Below are 18,922 nucleotides of genomic sequence, written 5' to 3'. Positions count from 1 at the left end.
ACTGTTGTCAACAAATCTGGCCAAAGCAACAAACAGTGCCTACAGTGCCTACCATCAGTGGGGTGAGCAATACAAGTGTGTCCCTTTTAAGAGTTTTTTTGTTTTTTTTTTTTTTTTTTGAGACGGAGTTTCACTCTTGTTGCCCAGGCTGGAGTGCAATGGCGCGATCTTGACTCACTGCAACCTCCGCCTCCTGGGTTCAAGCGATTCTCCTGCCTCAGCCTCCTGAGTAGCTGGGATTACAGGTGCCCACCACCATGCCCGGCTAATTTTTTGTATTTTTAGTAGAGAAGGGATTTCACCATGTTGGCCAGGCTAGTCTTGAACTCCTGATCTCAGATGATCCACCTGCCTCAGCCTCCCAAAGTGCTGGGATTACAGGTGTGAGCTACTGCGCCCAGCCTCTCTTAAGAGTTCTTGATCTTATACATGCATGACATTTTGAGTTTATGAATACTGGAATGCATTAATAAGTTGTATCATATTATGCAAGTTACTTAATTTTTTTTAAGTTACTGAATCTTACCAAGCCTTAGTTTTCTCTCACGGAAAACAGGGATAAGTACACTTACATCACAGAGTTATTCTGTAAATCAAATGAGACTTTATAAACTTCAAAGTACTATTCCAGGGCAATGCATTATTTAACAAAACATTCACTTTATCTGAAGATTCACTGTTGACAGAGAGTGTTGCAGGGTGAAAAGAGCACCCAGGCAGAAAGACAGATCTGGAGTTCAATTTTAGAACCACCCCTTAGCAGCTCTGTATCTTGGGCGTGTTTATAAGCCCTCAAAGGCCCAGTTCCTATATGGAAACCTCTGTGATAGGGCTGTTGTGGTGATGTGCATAAGGCACTCAGTGCGGTAACTCAGATATTTGGTAGATCCACATTAATAGATGGTAGTATGTCTGACTCCAAGCCACCATTTTTTTCCCATTACAATATATCTCAGCTTTTTCTATTATTGAATTGGATTTAATCCAAACATTGTTAGGCTACATTTTATGTTGATTTGTGTATTTGTGTTTTGAAAACTGGGACCAAAAAAGGTGAGTCAGGTGTGTAGGCAGATCTGAAAAGCTTGAAGACTATAAAGGACAAGGACAAATACAGCTTCTTGGGACGGAGGTTGGCTCACACAGAAAAAAATGTACACTGCCCCTGACCTGGATGGGAAGCAAAGGCAGACTGTGATAGATTCCTAAATAGGTTAGAAACTGAAGCCAGAAACACAGAAAACACCCACGTTGCACATATGAAAACCACTGGTAAGAAGTTGCTTCAGACTCAGAGGCAGGGACTCTTACCGTATTTTCTGCTTCTAGCCAGAAATGAGGTTGGAGGATAGGCAATGAGTGCAGACAACTGTATTATCTGTCTGAATTAAGGGGTGAGGGACCCAGAACCAGGAAGTCTTGATAAGGTTATACTTAGCAAAGTGATCTTGCTTCTATAAATCAGGCTGTAGAAAGAGATTGTGTAATGTGTAATATAAAAGACATCAACTAGTGGTTTCTTCCTGTTCACTGTCAAATACAATATACTTATGATGACTGATCATTACCATGTGAGAATTGTACGTTGGAAGAAATGTCTGTGACATCCTTGTGCCAAGTGTGCTAAAAGGCTCAGGATGTTGGATGATGCCCAAAAGCAAAATTTTCCTTCCTGGCCTCAGCTATAATAGTTAAAGAAATGATATTGTCAAATGTGTTGAACTTTGTATATCACTGCTGTTAGCTACTAAAATTTAAAGATTTGGGTGGCAATTTTCATAGCTTTCAACAAAGATCATAAACATTACAAATGCCTATAACCAATGTGATGACAGTCTTAGGTTAAACAAGATAACTGTTTCCTCTGATATGCAAGTTGATTTTCAATGGATGACTAGAAAGAACCAGATTGAAATATAACAGAGAAAACTGGCTTAGTAACTTTTTCTAAGTTATACATTTGATTATGTCATTTGTTGGCTCAAAATCGTTCAAATGCTTCCCAAAAATAAAATCAAAATAAAATCCAAACCTTGTAGCATAACACGTAAGACCTTTCATGATCTAGACATTGTCTCCAGACAACACCCCCTTTTTTAATCCTGCCAAGTTGCTTCCAGTTTCCAATCTTCCTTATTTCCATTGCTCTCTTTGCCTGAAATATCCCATCCCAGCTGTCTGCCTGAAAAACTTTTATTCACTTTCTCCTTCAAGATTCAGTTCAAGCCTTCCTCCTCAGGAAAGTGTTCTCCGACCCCCATCCACCTTCCATTCCTTAACTATAGCACTCCTCATCCTAAGTGTCAGCTTACTTCTCTCTCTCCACCCAGACTGTGAGGACTTCGAGTACAAGTATGTAGGATAATATCTTCATGCTGAAGTCCCGGCATGAAACAAATGTTTGGTGAAACTTACCTCTCGGTGAGTTTTTAACTTTCCATGTACAGAGACTTAAAGAGCTGAATTAGCTTAAATTGTATTGCACTCTCAACTTCATGTTATAATATTTTATTGAAAAAAATTAGATTAAAAATTTAAAATATAAACACCAATAAATTTGAATTATTGTTTGCCTAGTTTTTTGAACAAATCAGCTCATATAAGAACACTGCCAGCAAGTTGTAATTTAAAGTTGAATAAGCTCAGAGAGTTTAAGTAACTTCCAAAGGTCAAACAGCTAAACCATGACTTAAAGCTCTGGCTGTCACAGTCCCTTCTATCTCAATTCTTGACACTGATTTATGGGCAGAGAATGATATTATGTGGAGATAAGCTTTGATTATTACTGTCATCCTTGAACTAAGTTGCAATTTGTGCATGCAATTCTAAAATCAAATTTGAGATAAAACAAGTTGTTTGTGACATATTCACAAAGAGACAATGATTTTATATTTTATTCTCTTATCAGGTCTGGTAAATAAGAGCTTCCAAGCAAACATTGGTTTAATTTTTAAAACCCTGTTTTACAATAAAAAATATATTAAACTCAAGACTGAGTAAAGAATGACTCACTGGAGGACACTGGGGCATTGGAACTAATCCTAAAACTCAATGGGAGGACTAAGAGGAAAAACAAAAGGGCGAGAGAACTGAGTTCTATAACTGATAACATATCAGAGTGGTAAATATTTCCATTTCCCATTTTAAATGAAAATGGCATCATATTTTCTCCATGTAAAATGACCAAAAAGAGAAAGATGGTATAGTATATTTTGGCTTCCCAAAAAAAAGGACCTATGGAAGTAGAGGGGATTTTTACTATTCTTACTAGTAAAGAGAGCCTTAAGGCTGGGAAGCAATGTAACTCTTGATCAATGGCTGTTGTAATTTCAGGCCTCATCAACCAGGTTTCTTTTTCTTATCATTCTAGCAGCTTCTCCTATAAGGCTCCTCCAGACTAAGTCGATTAAATTGTGGAAGGGTTCACATAGCTCCCTTGTGGTTTCTTAGTATTCATAGTAAAAATGATGAGAATTAACATTTGAAAATAAAACTAGTCTGGATTCTTGGACCTTTCCTATAGAACCTTTTTCACGTCTAATCCACGGGGAAACCATTCAGATGGCATGAATATTTTCTGACTGTGCCAAGCACTGAAAATGGTAGCTTGTCATTTCGAATTATCCAAATACAGCATGACTGACTGTTAAAGTACTCTCTGGTTGTATCTGTTAAAGGCTATTTAAAATCCAAGGTTACTCAGGGAATATCAGAACTGATAACTCGTTTCTTCTTTTGGCTAAAAAAAAAAAAAATTGTCATGCCCTCAAGTTAAGTCTGTATAGCCTTAAATTCCAATTTTAATGCATTACATATCTAACAGAACCACAACCAGGAAAACTGATCTAAAGTTAGAAAGTTTTTTAAAGAAACACAACACAAAATCAATAGCATGAGGGGATGGTCCTTACCTTTCAAAATGCATTCAGTATGAGTCAGATATTCAAATACTATTACCTGTTCTATAAACCCATAGAATATTTTCCCAAATTCAGACAATCCTATGTGAACTTCAATGCAATGGACAGACATTAATATAGTAATTAGAATGATACATAATGAAAAAGCAAATTAGAATGGTGATTAAGAAATATCAGCCTGATAAATAGCATCACAGAAACTACCCACTGTTCCTTTGCTCCAATAAGGTTAGACAGGCAGTAAGTCCATAAAAGCAGAGTGTGTGTCTGTTTTATTCATACCAAATTCTCCATGCCCAACAAAGTGCTTGGCACATAGTGAATGATTAATATATACTTTATCAATAAATGAATAAAAATAATAGCTATCCCTTCTACATGCCAGACACTACACCAAACACATTACTTATATTACCTCATCTACCCTTCATGATGGCCCAATCAAGCTGCCAAGATTAGTAGCCCAATTTTACAGATGAGAAAACAGACCAATACAGGTTACATCATTTAACCAATGTTTATTACCACTACCAAGTAGCAGAGCTGAGATTTGAAACCAAGATGTTCCGATTTCACAGTTCTGGATCTGTGCTAAATACAACGCTGCATTATAATATTGCTACTGTATTTAACATAAAGTACTAGTCTTGTGAGGAAAAATGCATTTGTTTCTGTTGAAACAGTCAAAAGGGTTCCAACTGTAACATTCTATTTTATTAAAGTTGACACTAGTCTACAAAGAATTGGGCAATTTCTAAGGAACTCCTATTAACACCTTTAATCCAAGTACCTTAATATTATTAGCCAAGGAACATACTCACCAAATTGGTGACTGGAAGTTAGAATCAGAGACCAACTGTGTTTTAAAAATTGATCCGTTATACTATCCCAATATGCGATATGATAGGAATCTATTACAATATTAAAGTGGAAAAAGGGAATGGATGCTATTAATTTTAGCCTATCAGTAATTTATGTCTAAACATTGCTACTGCACTCAATGACACATTTTACAGTGCTTAAAACAAGAGACAGTGTAGATTTGGGAGATTCTGTTATTTTTATTTATACTGACAAGGATGTTACATATATTTAACTTTAGAAGTTTCCTACGGCAGAAAAAACAAAGAGAGGATTGCAGAAGACACACTGAATCCTGCTGTATATAGTGTATGGATGACAGGGGCCAGGATGTGGAACAGGAGCATAAAGACAGCATATGCAAATACTGTTCTCAACCAAAGAATCATTATCACTGGGAGGGAGGCAACAAAGCTGTGGGCTTATTTGGAAAACAACATCACCTTTAAAAAACAGTCATTTAAATAAGTACCCAAGCAGAGTATCTCTCATACAGGCATATATATATATATAATGTTTTATCTCCTTTTTCTTCTCATCAGCAGCTGTAACCCTGTGGAGATAGTGGCATTTAAAAAGACACAGCAGGTGGTTAATAAATAGAAGCAGTTGAAAGGGATTTAAGCTAAAGCTTCATAAGATGGTAAAGCACTACTGCTTTAGCTTGAGAATGATTCCCAGTTAGAACAGCTGGAAATAGCCTCATTTAACCAGCTTGGATTTTTTTTCATCAAAAAACATCAAACAACCTGTAGAAGCCATCTTTGGTTTGTTAAGATTAGTTGGTCCTAAGTGTCATTAGAAATAGCTTTAAAATCAAATATTAATAGGAAGAACTAAAAATAATTTTAGCTATGTATAGAAGATCACACCAAAGTATAACACTGGATACATAAGAAGCCCACTCGTTTTAATCATCCAATATTTTAAACACAAAATCTTGGGGTTTGCAATCCTAAATTGCTTTAAACCCTATGTCCTGTGCTCAGCAGAATAAAAAATGCACAAGCCTACAATCTCATATTTAAAAAAGAGAGCACTCCAGAATTACCCCAAATGCCAACACAATTTGTATAAACAAAATATTATGATTTTCAAAGCCTGAAACTCTAAGTAGCTAATCACTTATCATTTAAAAAATTGATTAAGAGTAAAAACAGAATGAAGTAATTCATAGAATAGATGAATACAATATTTAAATTTCCAAGATATCCTCAAAATTTACTATTTAAGTAAATTTAAATTTACTTACTTTAAATTAAACTGGGTAATTTAAATATAAAAATTTACTTAAATAGTAAATTTAAGCACCTTCATTTCATTTCATTACTGACTCTAACAACTTCAAAAGAGCATCTGCTCACTTAGAGCTTAGTTTAGGCTCATATTCAGCTAATAAATCTAGGGAACTTAGAATTGTCATGCTTTGAATTAAGTCTATAGAGCACAAATAGAGTGCAACAAATCATGCCATTGATATGCTTGCTCTAATCTTGGTGCTATTATTTTCTTTTGGTCCCTAGATAGGGTTAATTGTTTTCCTCCTCCAAACGCCTGGGAAGAAGGCATTGGGGTTACATCTGACAGGTACTGTCACTTTCTTTACATGGGTCAGCAGAGCTGCTTCTTTTCCATCAGCTGGTCCTTATTTGCAACCTCTAGAGGTATGTTAATTTGGAATTGAGCACTAGGCCCACTCTAACTATAAAGGGACCACCCTACAGTATATTAAAAGGTTCAAATCAACGTATGCAATTTAAATGCACATGCATATAATTAACTAGACACATTGCCAATGTGAGCTGCTAATTTGGAATGAGTCACAAAAGGCTAGAATGTGTGCAGAGGAAAAAAACTTTAAAATTAAAATCACTATATAATGAAAACTGCTTCATGCTGTGTCTACTATTTTTATATAAACTTAATATAACTGTAAATATATTTTAATGAACAGTAGAAAGAGGCAATTACAAAGAGCAAAGGAGGGCAGCACAACAGTGAAACATCATCAGAATAGCTATTTGCGTTAATATTAAAAATGCTTCCTGAAGATAGAAGATGAATTATAACTTCATAATTTCAGGGGAAACATGTTTTCTATATTAAAGACACCTATTTGCCAACCTGCTCGCAATGAAAATGGAACACTGAAGTGTAAACAGGAGGAAATCCTAGCTAACAAACAGAAAAGAGGAAATCCAAGTTTGACATTTTGATGTTAAAATAGCTTTTTCTTCTTTCCTTAAAACAGCTTTGTATTTCCTTATAAGTTTCCCTAGAGTGTGAATGACTTCTGGTTATTTTTAAGCATCAAAACTGTTATAGGTATCATCCCCAAAATATATGTGAAAGTTTAGGAGTCTTCATTTAAGTGCTGTCTATGTCTTAGAATAATTGAAGAATAGATTTGCAACTATAAAATGAGTGTGATCAATTCCATGACTCAAAAAATTTTAGAAAAATAATGCAAGACGTTTGACACTGATAGATTTTTGTTGTGAGTACTATAATTCAGATGACAGGATAAGATGTTAAACAGCTGGAAAATATCCACTGACTATCTTCAGGGCTGAGCCTGTGAGGCACTGGGGGTGGGGAGTGAAAGATGTTTCTGTGAAGCAACTGAAAGTTCTGGCTGTGAAATATCCTGTGAGCTCTAATTCTTTAAAGTATAGATTTTGCCAAATATTGGAAGATAAATAATGTATACCATATTTAAATAAGAATATAAGGCCTGTGGCTGGGTGTGGTGGCTCATACCTATAATCCCAGCACTTTGGGAGGCCAAGGTGGGTGAATCACTTGAGGTCAGGGGGCTCGAGACCAGCCTGGCCAACATGGCAAAACCCCATCTCTACTAAAAATACAAAAATTAGTTGGGCATGGTGGCACGCGCCTGTAGTCCCAACTACTGAGGAGGCTGAGGCAGGAGAATTGCTTGAACCCAGGAGGTGGAGGTTGCAGTGAGCTGAGATCGCACCACTGCACTAGAACCTGGGTGACTGAGTGAGACTCAGTCAAAAAAAAAAGAATATAAAATAAATATATGATATATAATATATATCATATATTATATACAAATATACATATAAATATGTATTATAATCTTTATATATATATAAAGGAATATATATATATATATATAAAAAGGCCTGATTGTGGAAGTCAGAATCATTAGAACAGTTTTACTTAATGTATGTCTTCTAGTTCACATATTGAAAAGATCCTACTTTTAAATGTTAGACTTAAACGTGTTGGGCTTGGTTAAAAGATGATGAATAACAGCACCAATTGTCCTTGTTTTATGATTATAAATTCAATCATAACAAGTCTACAAATTAAGTGGGGCTATGGGATACAAGGCAAATATTTTAAAATCCATTTAAAATGATATGGGTATAGTGTTATTAAGAATTGTAATTACTCAATGATGCAACTGACTGGCAAAACACAGTGAGCTGCTTGCTTGAGGTGAGTCAAGCAGTACACACACTTCCAGCTCCTAGAAATAATGCTTTTCCAATCAGACTCAGCATTTGGATGCAATTTATATTCATAGAATTATGGAATTTTAGAGCATAGAGAGGCTTTAAAAATGGCCTAGTATAAGTCTTTTGCAAAAATGAAGACAAGAACTCCATCTCAGATGGGCTAAATAACCTACCCAGGGAATCCAGCAAGTTAGTTCACTGCTCTTTCCTTCTACTATGTTGACTTTCAAGTAATAATTTTAGCAAAATAATATACTTAGCAATTACTCTACTCAAAATTTCTGTTTTCACTTTCATTTATATTTTTCTTTGAAACTTCTTATTCCCCAATGTGGAAGATTTTTGGTCAATATATCTTATAGATTTAATTTCAGAATAGTTTATTTAAGAATACTAATAAATATTTTAAAGGGGCCAAAATGAGGTTTTTGTTTTATTCCCTTAACATGAGAACAATGAGCTTGGCTCATTTTAGATAATTTTTCCTAACAATTAGAACTGGAATAGCATTTAAGTGTTGTGTTATTTTCTCACTCATTCCCTTAAACCAAGGTGCAGCAAAAGCAGACTTTAAAAGCTTACATTCCTTCTAGCTATTTTCAATGAGTCCAATTCAAAGGTAAATATTGGTAATTTCAGAAGAAATTGTTTTAAAGCATAAAAACCAAAGGATGTGATTTACTGAATAAGATTCAGGAAAAGCTGTCACAGAATAATCTTTTAATCCCAGAATTTTATTTACAAAAATTTACTGAAGAGTATAAACGGGAATGTTGATATTGAAGGGTATTTACTGTGATTTGCTGACTCTGTTTTTACATAAACCCAGTCACATAGGTTGGGTTCCTATGTGATATGTTCCTTTCATCAAATAACTTAAGCCTATTAACAAATGCTTTGACGGTACTTGGTCCATGGAGATTTCCACTAATTGCCCTGTGTTTTTAACAGTTCCAAATACACATTATATTGTTTATTACAAAAACGACAAGAGAGCAGTTGCTGCTTGACTCACATCAGGCTAATGAATGTTAGGATGCACAGAGAAAGGTCCATCAGTCTACATGATTATGTAAGGACAGGACCTCAAAACAGATTCCTCAGTGCAAAGCAAAGCACACCAGTCATTTCGGACTATTAAATGTGTGACAGTGATTCTGGGTCTACGTGAAAATAAGAAGCTTAAAAAGTGTGGCTATTTTCAGAGTTCAGTGATCTTCAAGAATGCCAAAGAACAAAATGAGAGGGACAATCTCAAACCATAATTATGCTGTAAACTTATGGGGGTAGAAAACATCTTATTTTTCCTAGAACCTCCCAAGCATCTGCTACAGCTCTGGCATATGACAGGCATTTAATAGAGGTTTACTGATTGTTTATGGCATGATATTAAGACTCACCATAGTGATTCAAATACTTTCTAATAATATCTAATTGAATTAATAATTACTTGAATAAATAGAAGGCAGTGTGGTAAAATGAAAATAACTGTGGGTTTGGAATCAGACAAGCTAGGGTTCAATCTTTATCTTGCACCAGTTTTGTTACTACCGTAAACAACTTACTGAATCACTTTGAGCTTCAGGCTTCTTGTCTGTAAAGTGGAAATAACAATATTTGCTTTGCAGAGACATTAGGATAAAATGAAATGGCAAGCCTACATCACCAGTCACAGTGTCTGGAGAAAGAGTGCTCAATAAACAGAACCATGATGCTCTTCGGGTAGAATAATGAACCTTAAAAAATTAATATCAGAGTATCAATAATCTATATTTTCAGACTTTCTTTACAAACCTTCTGCACCTGGACATATACTGTATAACAATATACATATATTGAATCTGTTTTATTTTAGATTCCAGGGGAACATGTTACATGGTATATTGTGTGATGCTGGAGTTTGGGCATCTATTGAACCCATCACTCAAATAGTTAACATAGTATCCAACTGGTAGTTTTTCAACTCTTGCTCCCTTCTCTCCCAGCCCCTTTTGGGGTCCTGGTTTCTACTGTTTCCATCTTTATGTCCATGAGACATATATTTATTAAGTCAGTGACAAAGGCTGATAGATATGCTCTATAGCAGACTAAATAACTGTGATAAACCATGATAACCACGTGATGACAATGAACAATGTTCTTTTTCTTAAAATGTTCTGCCTATTTATTAACTAGTTGTAAAATACTTGCACAGATACACTTTGCACTTGTAAAACACATTTTCTACACCCTTCTATACTGTAAACCCATTATCCTTACCAGTAACTTCCAGTGGATGAAGGCATATTGCATCCAAAAAGTAACATGTGATGGACAGTATCCATGCTGGCTCGAGGCTTGAAGTCAACTGTTACGAGAAAATAATACATGTATGTGAATACAAGTTACACTTCTGTGCACCAAAGTCATAAAATACATCTTTGAACAGTTCAAATACCTGTATAACAAAGATGTTTTGATGTTCTTGTGATCAAATGCCCTGTCTGTATAAATTATCTTGTTAAGGATAAGCATGACTTGATAATTTGATTAAGAGTAAAAAGGAAAAATAAGGCTGAATATCACACCCACATACACACACACACATTTTTAAAATGGAAGACCTCTTTTAAAGTGGTGAGGGCATTATATGGGTATTAAATGAAATCTGCAGGCTATGTATTCACAGTATATTTCCTTTTAGACATCAGTACAGTGCTGAGTATCATAAAACACTGCTCAACATTGTAGTGAAAAAGAAGCCACAGTGAGTGGTCAAAATATGAACACAAAAATTCATAACACAAATTTATGACCATCTTAGAATAACAACAGTACGATAGTCACTGGGATGTATATGAAGAAGCAATTTACCAGGAAAGAAAAATAAAAGTGGAAAATGTATCTTTACAAAAATACGAAAGACATAAAATTACTGTCCTCAATAAGCATGGTATACTTGTTAAAAGATATTAGAAGTTATGGAATGACATTTCTCGTTTTCTCCTAATAATAGTTGTTGAAAGACATTAAAATAAACAAGTGCATAATTAAAAGAGAAAAAATTAAAAATATATTATTATCTATGAACTCCCTTTCCTAGTGTGGGTTTGGCTCATCCTTTTGCGTTCTCATCAAAATGCTGTCCAGTATGAAGTAGCTGTTTACGAGTCACCTTTGCACATAAAATGCTAAATAGCCCCAAAATGATCTTAAATCTCAGGTGTGTGCAAAAATGCATCTTTCAGCTATTTTGGTCTGTTTGATAAAATTAAGAAAACATCACTTATTGCTAAAATGTGTATGTGAGACATGAGTACTTATAAAACAAAAAAATGTTCTACACCAAACTATAGCACCATGACTCACAGTGTGTCTGACCAAAAACATAGCACTATGTGCCAAACCTACTGTGTGCCATCTTGGCTTATAACTTTCAGAAGAGACAAACCTTTCTTTTACTGCAATGAAAGTAAGAACTTGAAGCCTAAAAATCAAATCTTGAAGTTTTCATGTCATCATTTAAAATATTAATGAAGAGAGAATGGCCAGAAAATGGACTTGCTATAACTTGAGGCTTGGTTTTCTATTACCAAAGAATATAGTAAGCACAAGGGATGGAAGAAGATGCTTTGGAAGGAAAGAATCACTTGGGAGTTACAGCCGTTCACAATTCATAGAAAGTCCTTATCATCATGAAGCCGAAGTTTGTTAGCAAGAGAAACAGAAGAAAGAAGAAGGATTCTATATCTATAGACCACTGCCAGGTTGAGTGCAGGATTTCCTTCCTCCCTTCCAGAATCCTACCAGGGATCTTTCCTGGGGCAGAAAGAAAATGGAAAAAGTCCTGAGGTAGGAGTACTGGTCTTTTATTCACCTTGATTTTATTTTGGTATGTGATACGATTTTTAATCTTATATTCATTTTTATTAAACTGTTTATACTACTTTATGAACATCTATAACTGTTGTCTAATTGTATCATCCTCCTCCCCCTCCCACGTTTTTAAAAAAATATTCCCTCTGCCAATGCATGAGAGGTTATCTGACCCCTCTGCTTTTTCAGAACCTATGTAGATGATTACATGACTTCCTCCCCTCAGAAGATCTTATTATGGGTGGATAAATTTCCTATGACTGAATCATTCTTGGAATTTTGGTAATATGCCAACATGGCCAAGTGCAGTTTATTCCAAGAATTAAATGGTTGGATGCAAAACAATGTTTCAAGCACCCGCTAAAAATTCAGGTGGAAGTATCCAGCAGAGAGTCAGAATTCTGTGACTCTTGTCCTAGAAAGAGGTCAGAGAATTACATATTTGGGAAACATTCAAAAATTGAACCCTGAAGCTGCGAGGATGGATGAAAGTACCAGAAAGGGTAATAGGAATCATAGAGAAGGCTCAAGACAGAGTTTTGGAAAAAGCCCAGGGCTGTCAGGGTATGTTTAGGAGACACCAACAGTATCTTTTTTATACTAATGCAATGTATATGCTGCTGTTAAACAAGGCAAAGACATTTCTGGAAAAAGAAGGAGCTATTAGTAATTTTTAAAAATGAAATATTAATAAGCAAAAGATTCAGGTAAGGGCAAGGAAGACAGCTGTTGGTAAGGGAATAGATCATAAAGACAACAACATATAATCTCTGTAGCTTTTCATTAGGAAAGAAAGAAAATAGTTTGCCTGGGCCCTTGCTTATGTAAGAGACTCTTCTAACTGTCCTTTGTAAAGTAAACTGGGCAAATCTTAATTAATCAAAGTATAAATTCTCTAACTATTTTCTGATTTTTTCTCCTTCTGACATACATTTTTTCCTGACATACATTTTAAGTACCACTTATTTATTTGCTCTACTTTGAACTCTAACTAGGTATGTGTTTAATTTTTGCTTCTAAAATGAGAAACAACTGTCTTTAAGTGGTAGAAAAAGAAAATTCTTCAGAGTTTCCTTTCACAAAAACAGATTCTCACTGACTCACATATTTCTCCAGAAACTCCAGATCTAATTTAAATGCTAAGTATATTAGAAGTACACAGCAAAAACAAGCAACTAACCATCTTTTTTCATATCCTAAAGAAAAAGTATAATATCTAAATATTTATATAATTATAGCTCAAAGTACAATTCATTGCAAGTTGAAATGAAAACTACCTCCAGCAAAAGGAATGTCAAATCAAAATGTAAATCTAAAACAAACAGTAGATGCCTTAAAATAAAGCAGCACTTGGACAATTTCACTGAAGGGCTGCTGCCAGTAGTGAGGAGCGGCAGGCTGGGAAAAGATTGGTCTGACAGGTTCATTTCAGGGGTTTGCTCCATTCCTGCTGATTATGCCTGGCTTTGCAAAATAAGACCCCACCCCTAGTGAATTCTAGGTGTGCTGGGCACAAGACACACATAAGACTATGCAGGAGATGTCAACACAACACAATACAGAATATGGAAAAATACTTTAGAATAACATCTTAAAAAGAAATGTCTCTTTTCTTTTTCACCCATCATACACCAAAGAAATAAAGGATCCAAGGGGAAGAGAGCTAGAGGATAATAATGGAAACAACTGCATTTCAGTGTGCGATTCTGACAGGCAGAATAAACAAAGACAGCCTTGGGATGGTGACAAACAGTGCAAAACACAGCCTCAAGAGAATGCAAAGGAATATTATATCCGGTAAGATTAAAAGTGCCACTGACTCTTCTAACTCAATATTAAGATGACAGTTGCTTAAGTGGAAATGGTACTTCGGTCTCAATGGGAGCTAACAGTTCAGATTGCCTGATGTATGAGATCAGCGAACATTTTATAGGTGAGTAAGTCCTGGGAATGAAATACCTTTGAAGGACTAAGACTCCAAAAAAGTGACTCACACACAGTAATTAAAGGAAATCTGATGACACTGAAAGCACAGAGGTTGGAGGGTTTCTCAAAGGATAATGTCGTCTGAAATAAAAGACCTGAAACCATATGTGTGGATGACATGTTGAAAAGAGAGATGTCTAGGTCTAAATCCTGGAGTTCTAAGCAAAATTTCTCCTCATTGCATGGGGTGTTTGGGATTTATGGGCTTTTTAAGCTAACATCAGACTATAATCAGGGCCACAAAATTCTCTAAGAACGTGACCTGGGGGAGAATGTCATTTAGTTCTCCATTTTTCCCTTCTAAGTGGATATCCAAGTCTGCACGTCAAATTTTGATTCTTCTGCCAGACTTAGGACATAGAAAGATTCTGAAGAACACACATAACCAAGTAGAGAAACCAGCAATTTTGGAGATATTCATGTATATATAACCAGCTCTAAATTACCATTGGAAATGGCAGGAACAATTATTTTTAGCCAAAAAATATTCTGTAGAGGAATACTACAGAGCATAGATAATTGACCTATTGAATAAAAAAGCACCGACTTGCAAGTTTGGATCTGAAGAACTTTGGCATTCTAGAATTGTTGCTTGTATGTATTAGGGATAACTATTGTTAACTTTCTTTTTTCCTCCCAATGTAATCGTGTTATACACTGTAAATAGCTTAGCTTGCATATCATGGGTATTTTTACATGTTATTAAACAATTTTCTTAAGCAGCCATTTTTAGCCTGGACTTTAAATTATTACCTATGGAACTTGGTAAAAATACAAGTGCCTAGAGTCAATCTAGATGAGTCCCTTCTCGCCTCCCCCATCAACATCTTGGTCAAATCTCCAGCGGTTATTCCCAGGTAAGTATATCTTTTAAAGGTTTCACGGGCGAATTACCAGTAATTCTGACTATAGTCCCCATTTATAGTGACTGAATATACTCTATTATGTGAGCATAGTTTGAGTTTAACCAACTCATCTTAGTTAAATTGGGATTGTAATGCTCCTTTAAATGTACAGGACAAAGAGCAAAAGCAGGTTTCTTTTAAAATAAATTCATAAAGAATTTCTAAAGATAAAAATTAGTTGATATTTTAGAATTATTTTATTCAAGGAGACCACTGGAAGGAACTCTGTATTATATCATGTGAGTTTAGCTGTATCACCTAAAATCGTTTTAGTGCTGAGATCTGAGGCAGGCATAGGAAGCCTCTAGTGATTGTGTTCCTATCTATGATAAAGAGTCAGTATTCTAAGACTGTTTGTATTTTCAAGCCATATTTAATATTGAGAGAATTGGGAAGGTGTGAGGTTCAAGAAAATATAATATAAAAGGTATGTCATGAATAAAAAAAATTACAAACCCTAAAATCTTACTATCAACATTTCTTTATTTCCAAAAAAATAATGATTATGCTTCAAAAACTGCTCAAAGTAAAGATAGTAATGCTCTAAATTGCAATTTAAGTTTAGGATCAATCAACCTTAATGTTCATAATCTTGCAGTTGAGCCAAAAAGGTACAGAGAAATGTAAAGCTCACAGCATCATAGTCTATTTTCCAGCATGCTAAAAACCCACCACAATGGCATATTACATTATCTCCTGCAAGCTTTCCCCATAACCATGAAGCAATTCTGTACTAAAACAAAGACCTTTTCCTGGAACATTTTTTTTTTCCAGGGCAAAGACTATTTATTTATTTATTATTTTTTTTTCTTTTATTATTATACTTTAAGTTTTAGGGTACATATGCAGATTGTGCAGGTTAGTTACATATGTATACATGTGCCATGCTGGTGCGCTGCACCCACTAACTCGTCATTTAGCATTAGGTATATCTCCCAATGCTATCCCTCCCCCCTCCCCACACCCCACAACAGTCCTGAGAGTGTGATGTTCCCCTTCCTGTGTCCATGTGATCTCATTGTTCAATTCCCACCTATGAATGAGAATATGCGGTGGTTCATATGGAACCAAAAAAGAGCCTGCATCGCCAAGTCAATCCTAAGCCAAAAGAACAAAGCTGGAGGCATCACACTACCTGACTTCAAACTATACTACAAGGCTACAGCAACCAAAACAGCATGGTACTGGTACCAAAACAGAGATATAGATCAATGGAACAGAACAGAGCCCTCAGAAATAACGCCGCATATCTACAACTATCTGATCTTTGACAAACCTGAGAAAAACAAGCAATGGGGAAAGGACTCCCTATTTAATAAATGGTGCTGGGGAAACTGGCTAGCCATATGTAGAAAGCTGAAAATGGATCCCTTCCTTACACCTTATACAAAAATCAATTCAAGATGGATTAAAGACTTACATGTTAGACCTAAAACCATAAAAACCCTAGAAGAAAACCTAGGCAATATCATTCAGGACATAGGCATGGGCAAGGACTTCATGTCCAAAACACCAAAAGCAATGGCAACAAAAGACAAAATTGACAAATGGGATCTAATTAAACTAAAGAGCTTCTGCACAGCAAAAGAAACTACCATCAGAGTGAACAGGCAACCTACAAAATGGGAGAAAATTTTTGCAACCTACTCATCTGACAAAGGGCTAATATCCAGAATCTACAATGAACTCCAACAAATTTACAAGACAAAAACAAACAACCCCATCAAAAAATGGGCAAAGGACATGAACAGACACTTCTCAAAAGAAGACATTTATGCAGCCAAAAAGCACATGAAAAAATGCTCATCATCACTGGCCATCAGAGAAATGCAAATCAAAACCACAATGAGATACTATCTCACACCAGTTAGAATGGCAATCATTAAAAAGTCAGGAAACAACAGGTGCTGGAGAGGATGTGGAGAAATAGGAACACTTTTACACTGTTGGTGGGACTGTAAACTAGTTCAACCATTGTGGAAGTCAGTGTGGCAATTCCTCAGGGATCTAGAACTAGAAATACCATTTGACCCAGCCATCCCATTACTGGGTATATACCCAAAGGACTATAAATCATGCTGCTATAAAGACACAAGCACACGTATGTTTATTGCGGCACTATTCACAATAGCAAAGACTTGGAACCAACCCAAATGTCCAACAATGATAGACTGGATTAAGAAAATGTGGCACATATACACCATGGAATACTATGCAGCCATAAAAAAGGATGAGTTCATGTCCTTTGTAGGGACATGGATGAAATTGGAAATCATCATTCCTGGAACATTTTTAATCAGAAAGAAAGCTTAATAGTGAAATTGTCATTAATTCCTGCTAGTATGGACAATGATGTACCATTGGTAAAGAATGCTTATGGTGGTTTATGAGGACTTCAAGCTGCTGCCACCAAATTAACTAAGAAATAAGACACCTGAGCAAACCTATATATTGAACATCAATTTCAAATAAAACAATCCTCACCTCTGAATAAAGAAATTTCAACACACAACACAAAAACTAAATTTCTAGATGATATCTCTTTTAAAATTATGATATATATCAAAGAATCAATAGACTTCATCAGCCAAGCTATGCAAGATAAAACAGCATAAGCTTTACTAAGCCCTGTTTTTGTAATGTCATTCCTATAATAGTCCACTATTAATTTCCTACAGAATCAAGCCCATACCCTTAGCCTTTTAGGGCTATGCGTAACATTGTGCCAGTCCTCTAGCTCACTACATTTCCAATATGGCAATCTTTACATCCACTCCTCATTCTCATTAGGCAACTCCCTCACTTAATAATCACAACTACTAACATTTACTGAGGGCTTTCCATGTGCCAGGCACTCATTTACTTCTCAATGACCCTATGAGTCTGGTTCTTTGTCCTCCCAAATAGATGAGCCTTCAGGAAAGAGAAGTGAAGTAATTTGTCCCCTAGTAGTATAGCTAGAAAGTGGTGAGGCTGGGATCTGAATGTGGAGTGTTCTGGCTCAGAGCTTGCTCTTTTAACCACTATATGATACTGTCTCTCATACTTGTGCCCAGTGTGTTTGGGCTCATACTGTGGGCCACTAAAATATTCACCCCTTTGCATATTCAAATAGGTCATCTTCAGAGGTCCAGATGAAATTTTGCATACCTTTATCATGAAGTTTTCTCTGACTAGACCAACTCATAGTGATCTTTTAAGAGTTGACTACTAAAGTAGTTCCTGCTGAAATAGCTAGCTGGGAGGAGGTGGTAGGTTGGGGGAATGAAGGATTTTAACATTTCTCCATTAAAATAGCTATATCAACATGTCAATTAATTTTTGGTGATCATTAGATGTACCTAATTGAAGACATTAGAAATGGCTCCTATTCATCTCTCACTGTTTTTTATTACTTGAGAAAAGCTGAGGAGATGTTGGACGTTGTCAATTTGGAAACATGCGTACTTGGGTGACCAAAGGATAGAAGACGTTTAAGAAACTCTGAGACTCTGAGACAAGGTATATAGCAACAACTTCTCCTTCATGATTATGACCAAGAAAAATGGGCTGTATCCACTCATCAAAACCTCTACTATATATGTCTTATTTCTGTTTTTCATCATAGCTCTTTCCAAGTAGCTTTCACTAAGAAACTAAGTGTTTTCCAGGGTGATTGGTGGGAAATACTCAGTCATCATCTGTGAGACAGAGACTACTCATTATTTATGTTTGAAAGAAGTCCTAGTTGAAGACAGAAGAGAAAGGATACTTAGACAACTCATTGGAAGCAGAAAGGTAACAGAATGATTGCATGGGGATGAGGACTCACACACATGTACACACACATATGCATACATACACAGATACTCTCCTCTACTTACTGCTGCCAAAGCCATAAAACATGGATATACGAGCAATGTAC

General features: G+C 35.7%; 1 protein-coding gene across 58 annotated transcripts in view; it reads right to left on the bottom strand.

Annotated features, from left to right (window-relative positions):
• The window catches only part of PAM (peptidylglycine alpha-amidating monooxygenase), a 276,323-nt gene that overhangs the window by 106,553 nt on the left and 150,848 nt on the right, over positions 1 to 18,922 (bottom strand). For all 58 annotated transcript variants that reach the window (NR_157231.1, NR_033440.1, XM_024446066.2 and 55 more), the window contains one exon: positions 10,532 to 10,619. Coding sequence is in view for 56 of the 58 variants with exons in the window: in XM_024446066.2 (XP_024301834.1) it covers positions 10,532 to 10,619 (88 nt within the window). In the remaining 2 variants the exon portion in view is untranslated. The remainder of the gene's footprint in view (positions 1 to 10,531; positions 10,620 to 18,922) is intronic.

The sequence above is a fragment of the Homo sapiens genome, chromosome 5 (assembly GCF_000001405.40).
Source record: "Homo sapiens chromosome 5, GRCh38.p14 Primary Assembly".
Classification (NCBI taxonomy): Eukaryota; Metazoa; Chordata; class Mammalia; order Primates; family Hominidae; genus Homo; species Homo sapiens.
This window is presented reverse-complemented; position numbering and strand designations above follow the sequence as displayed.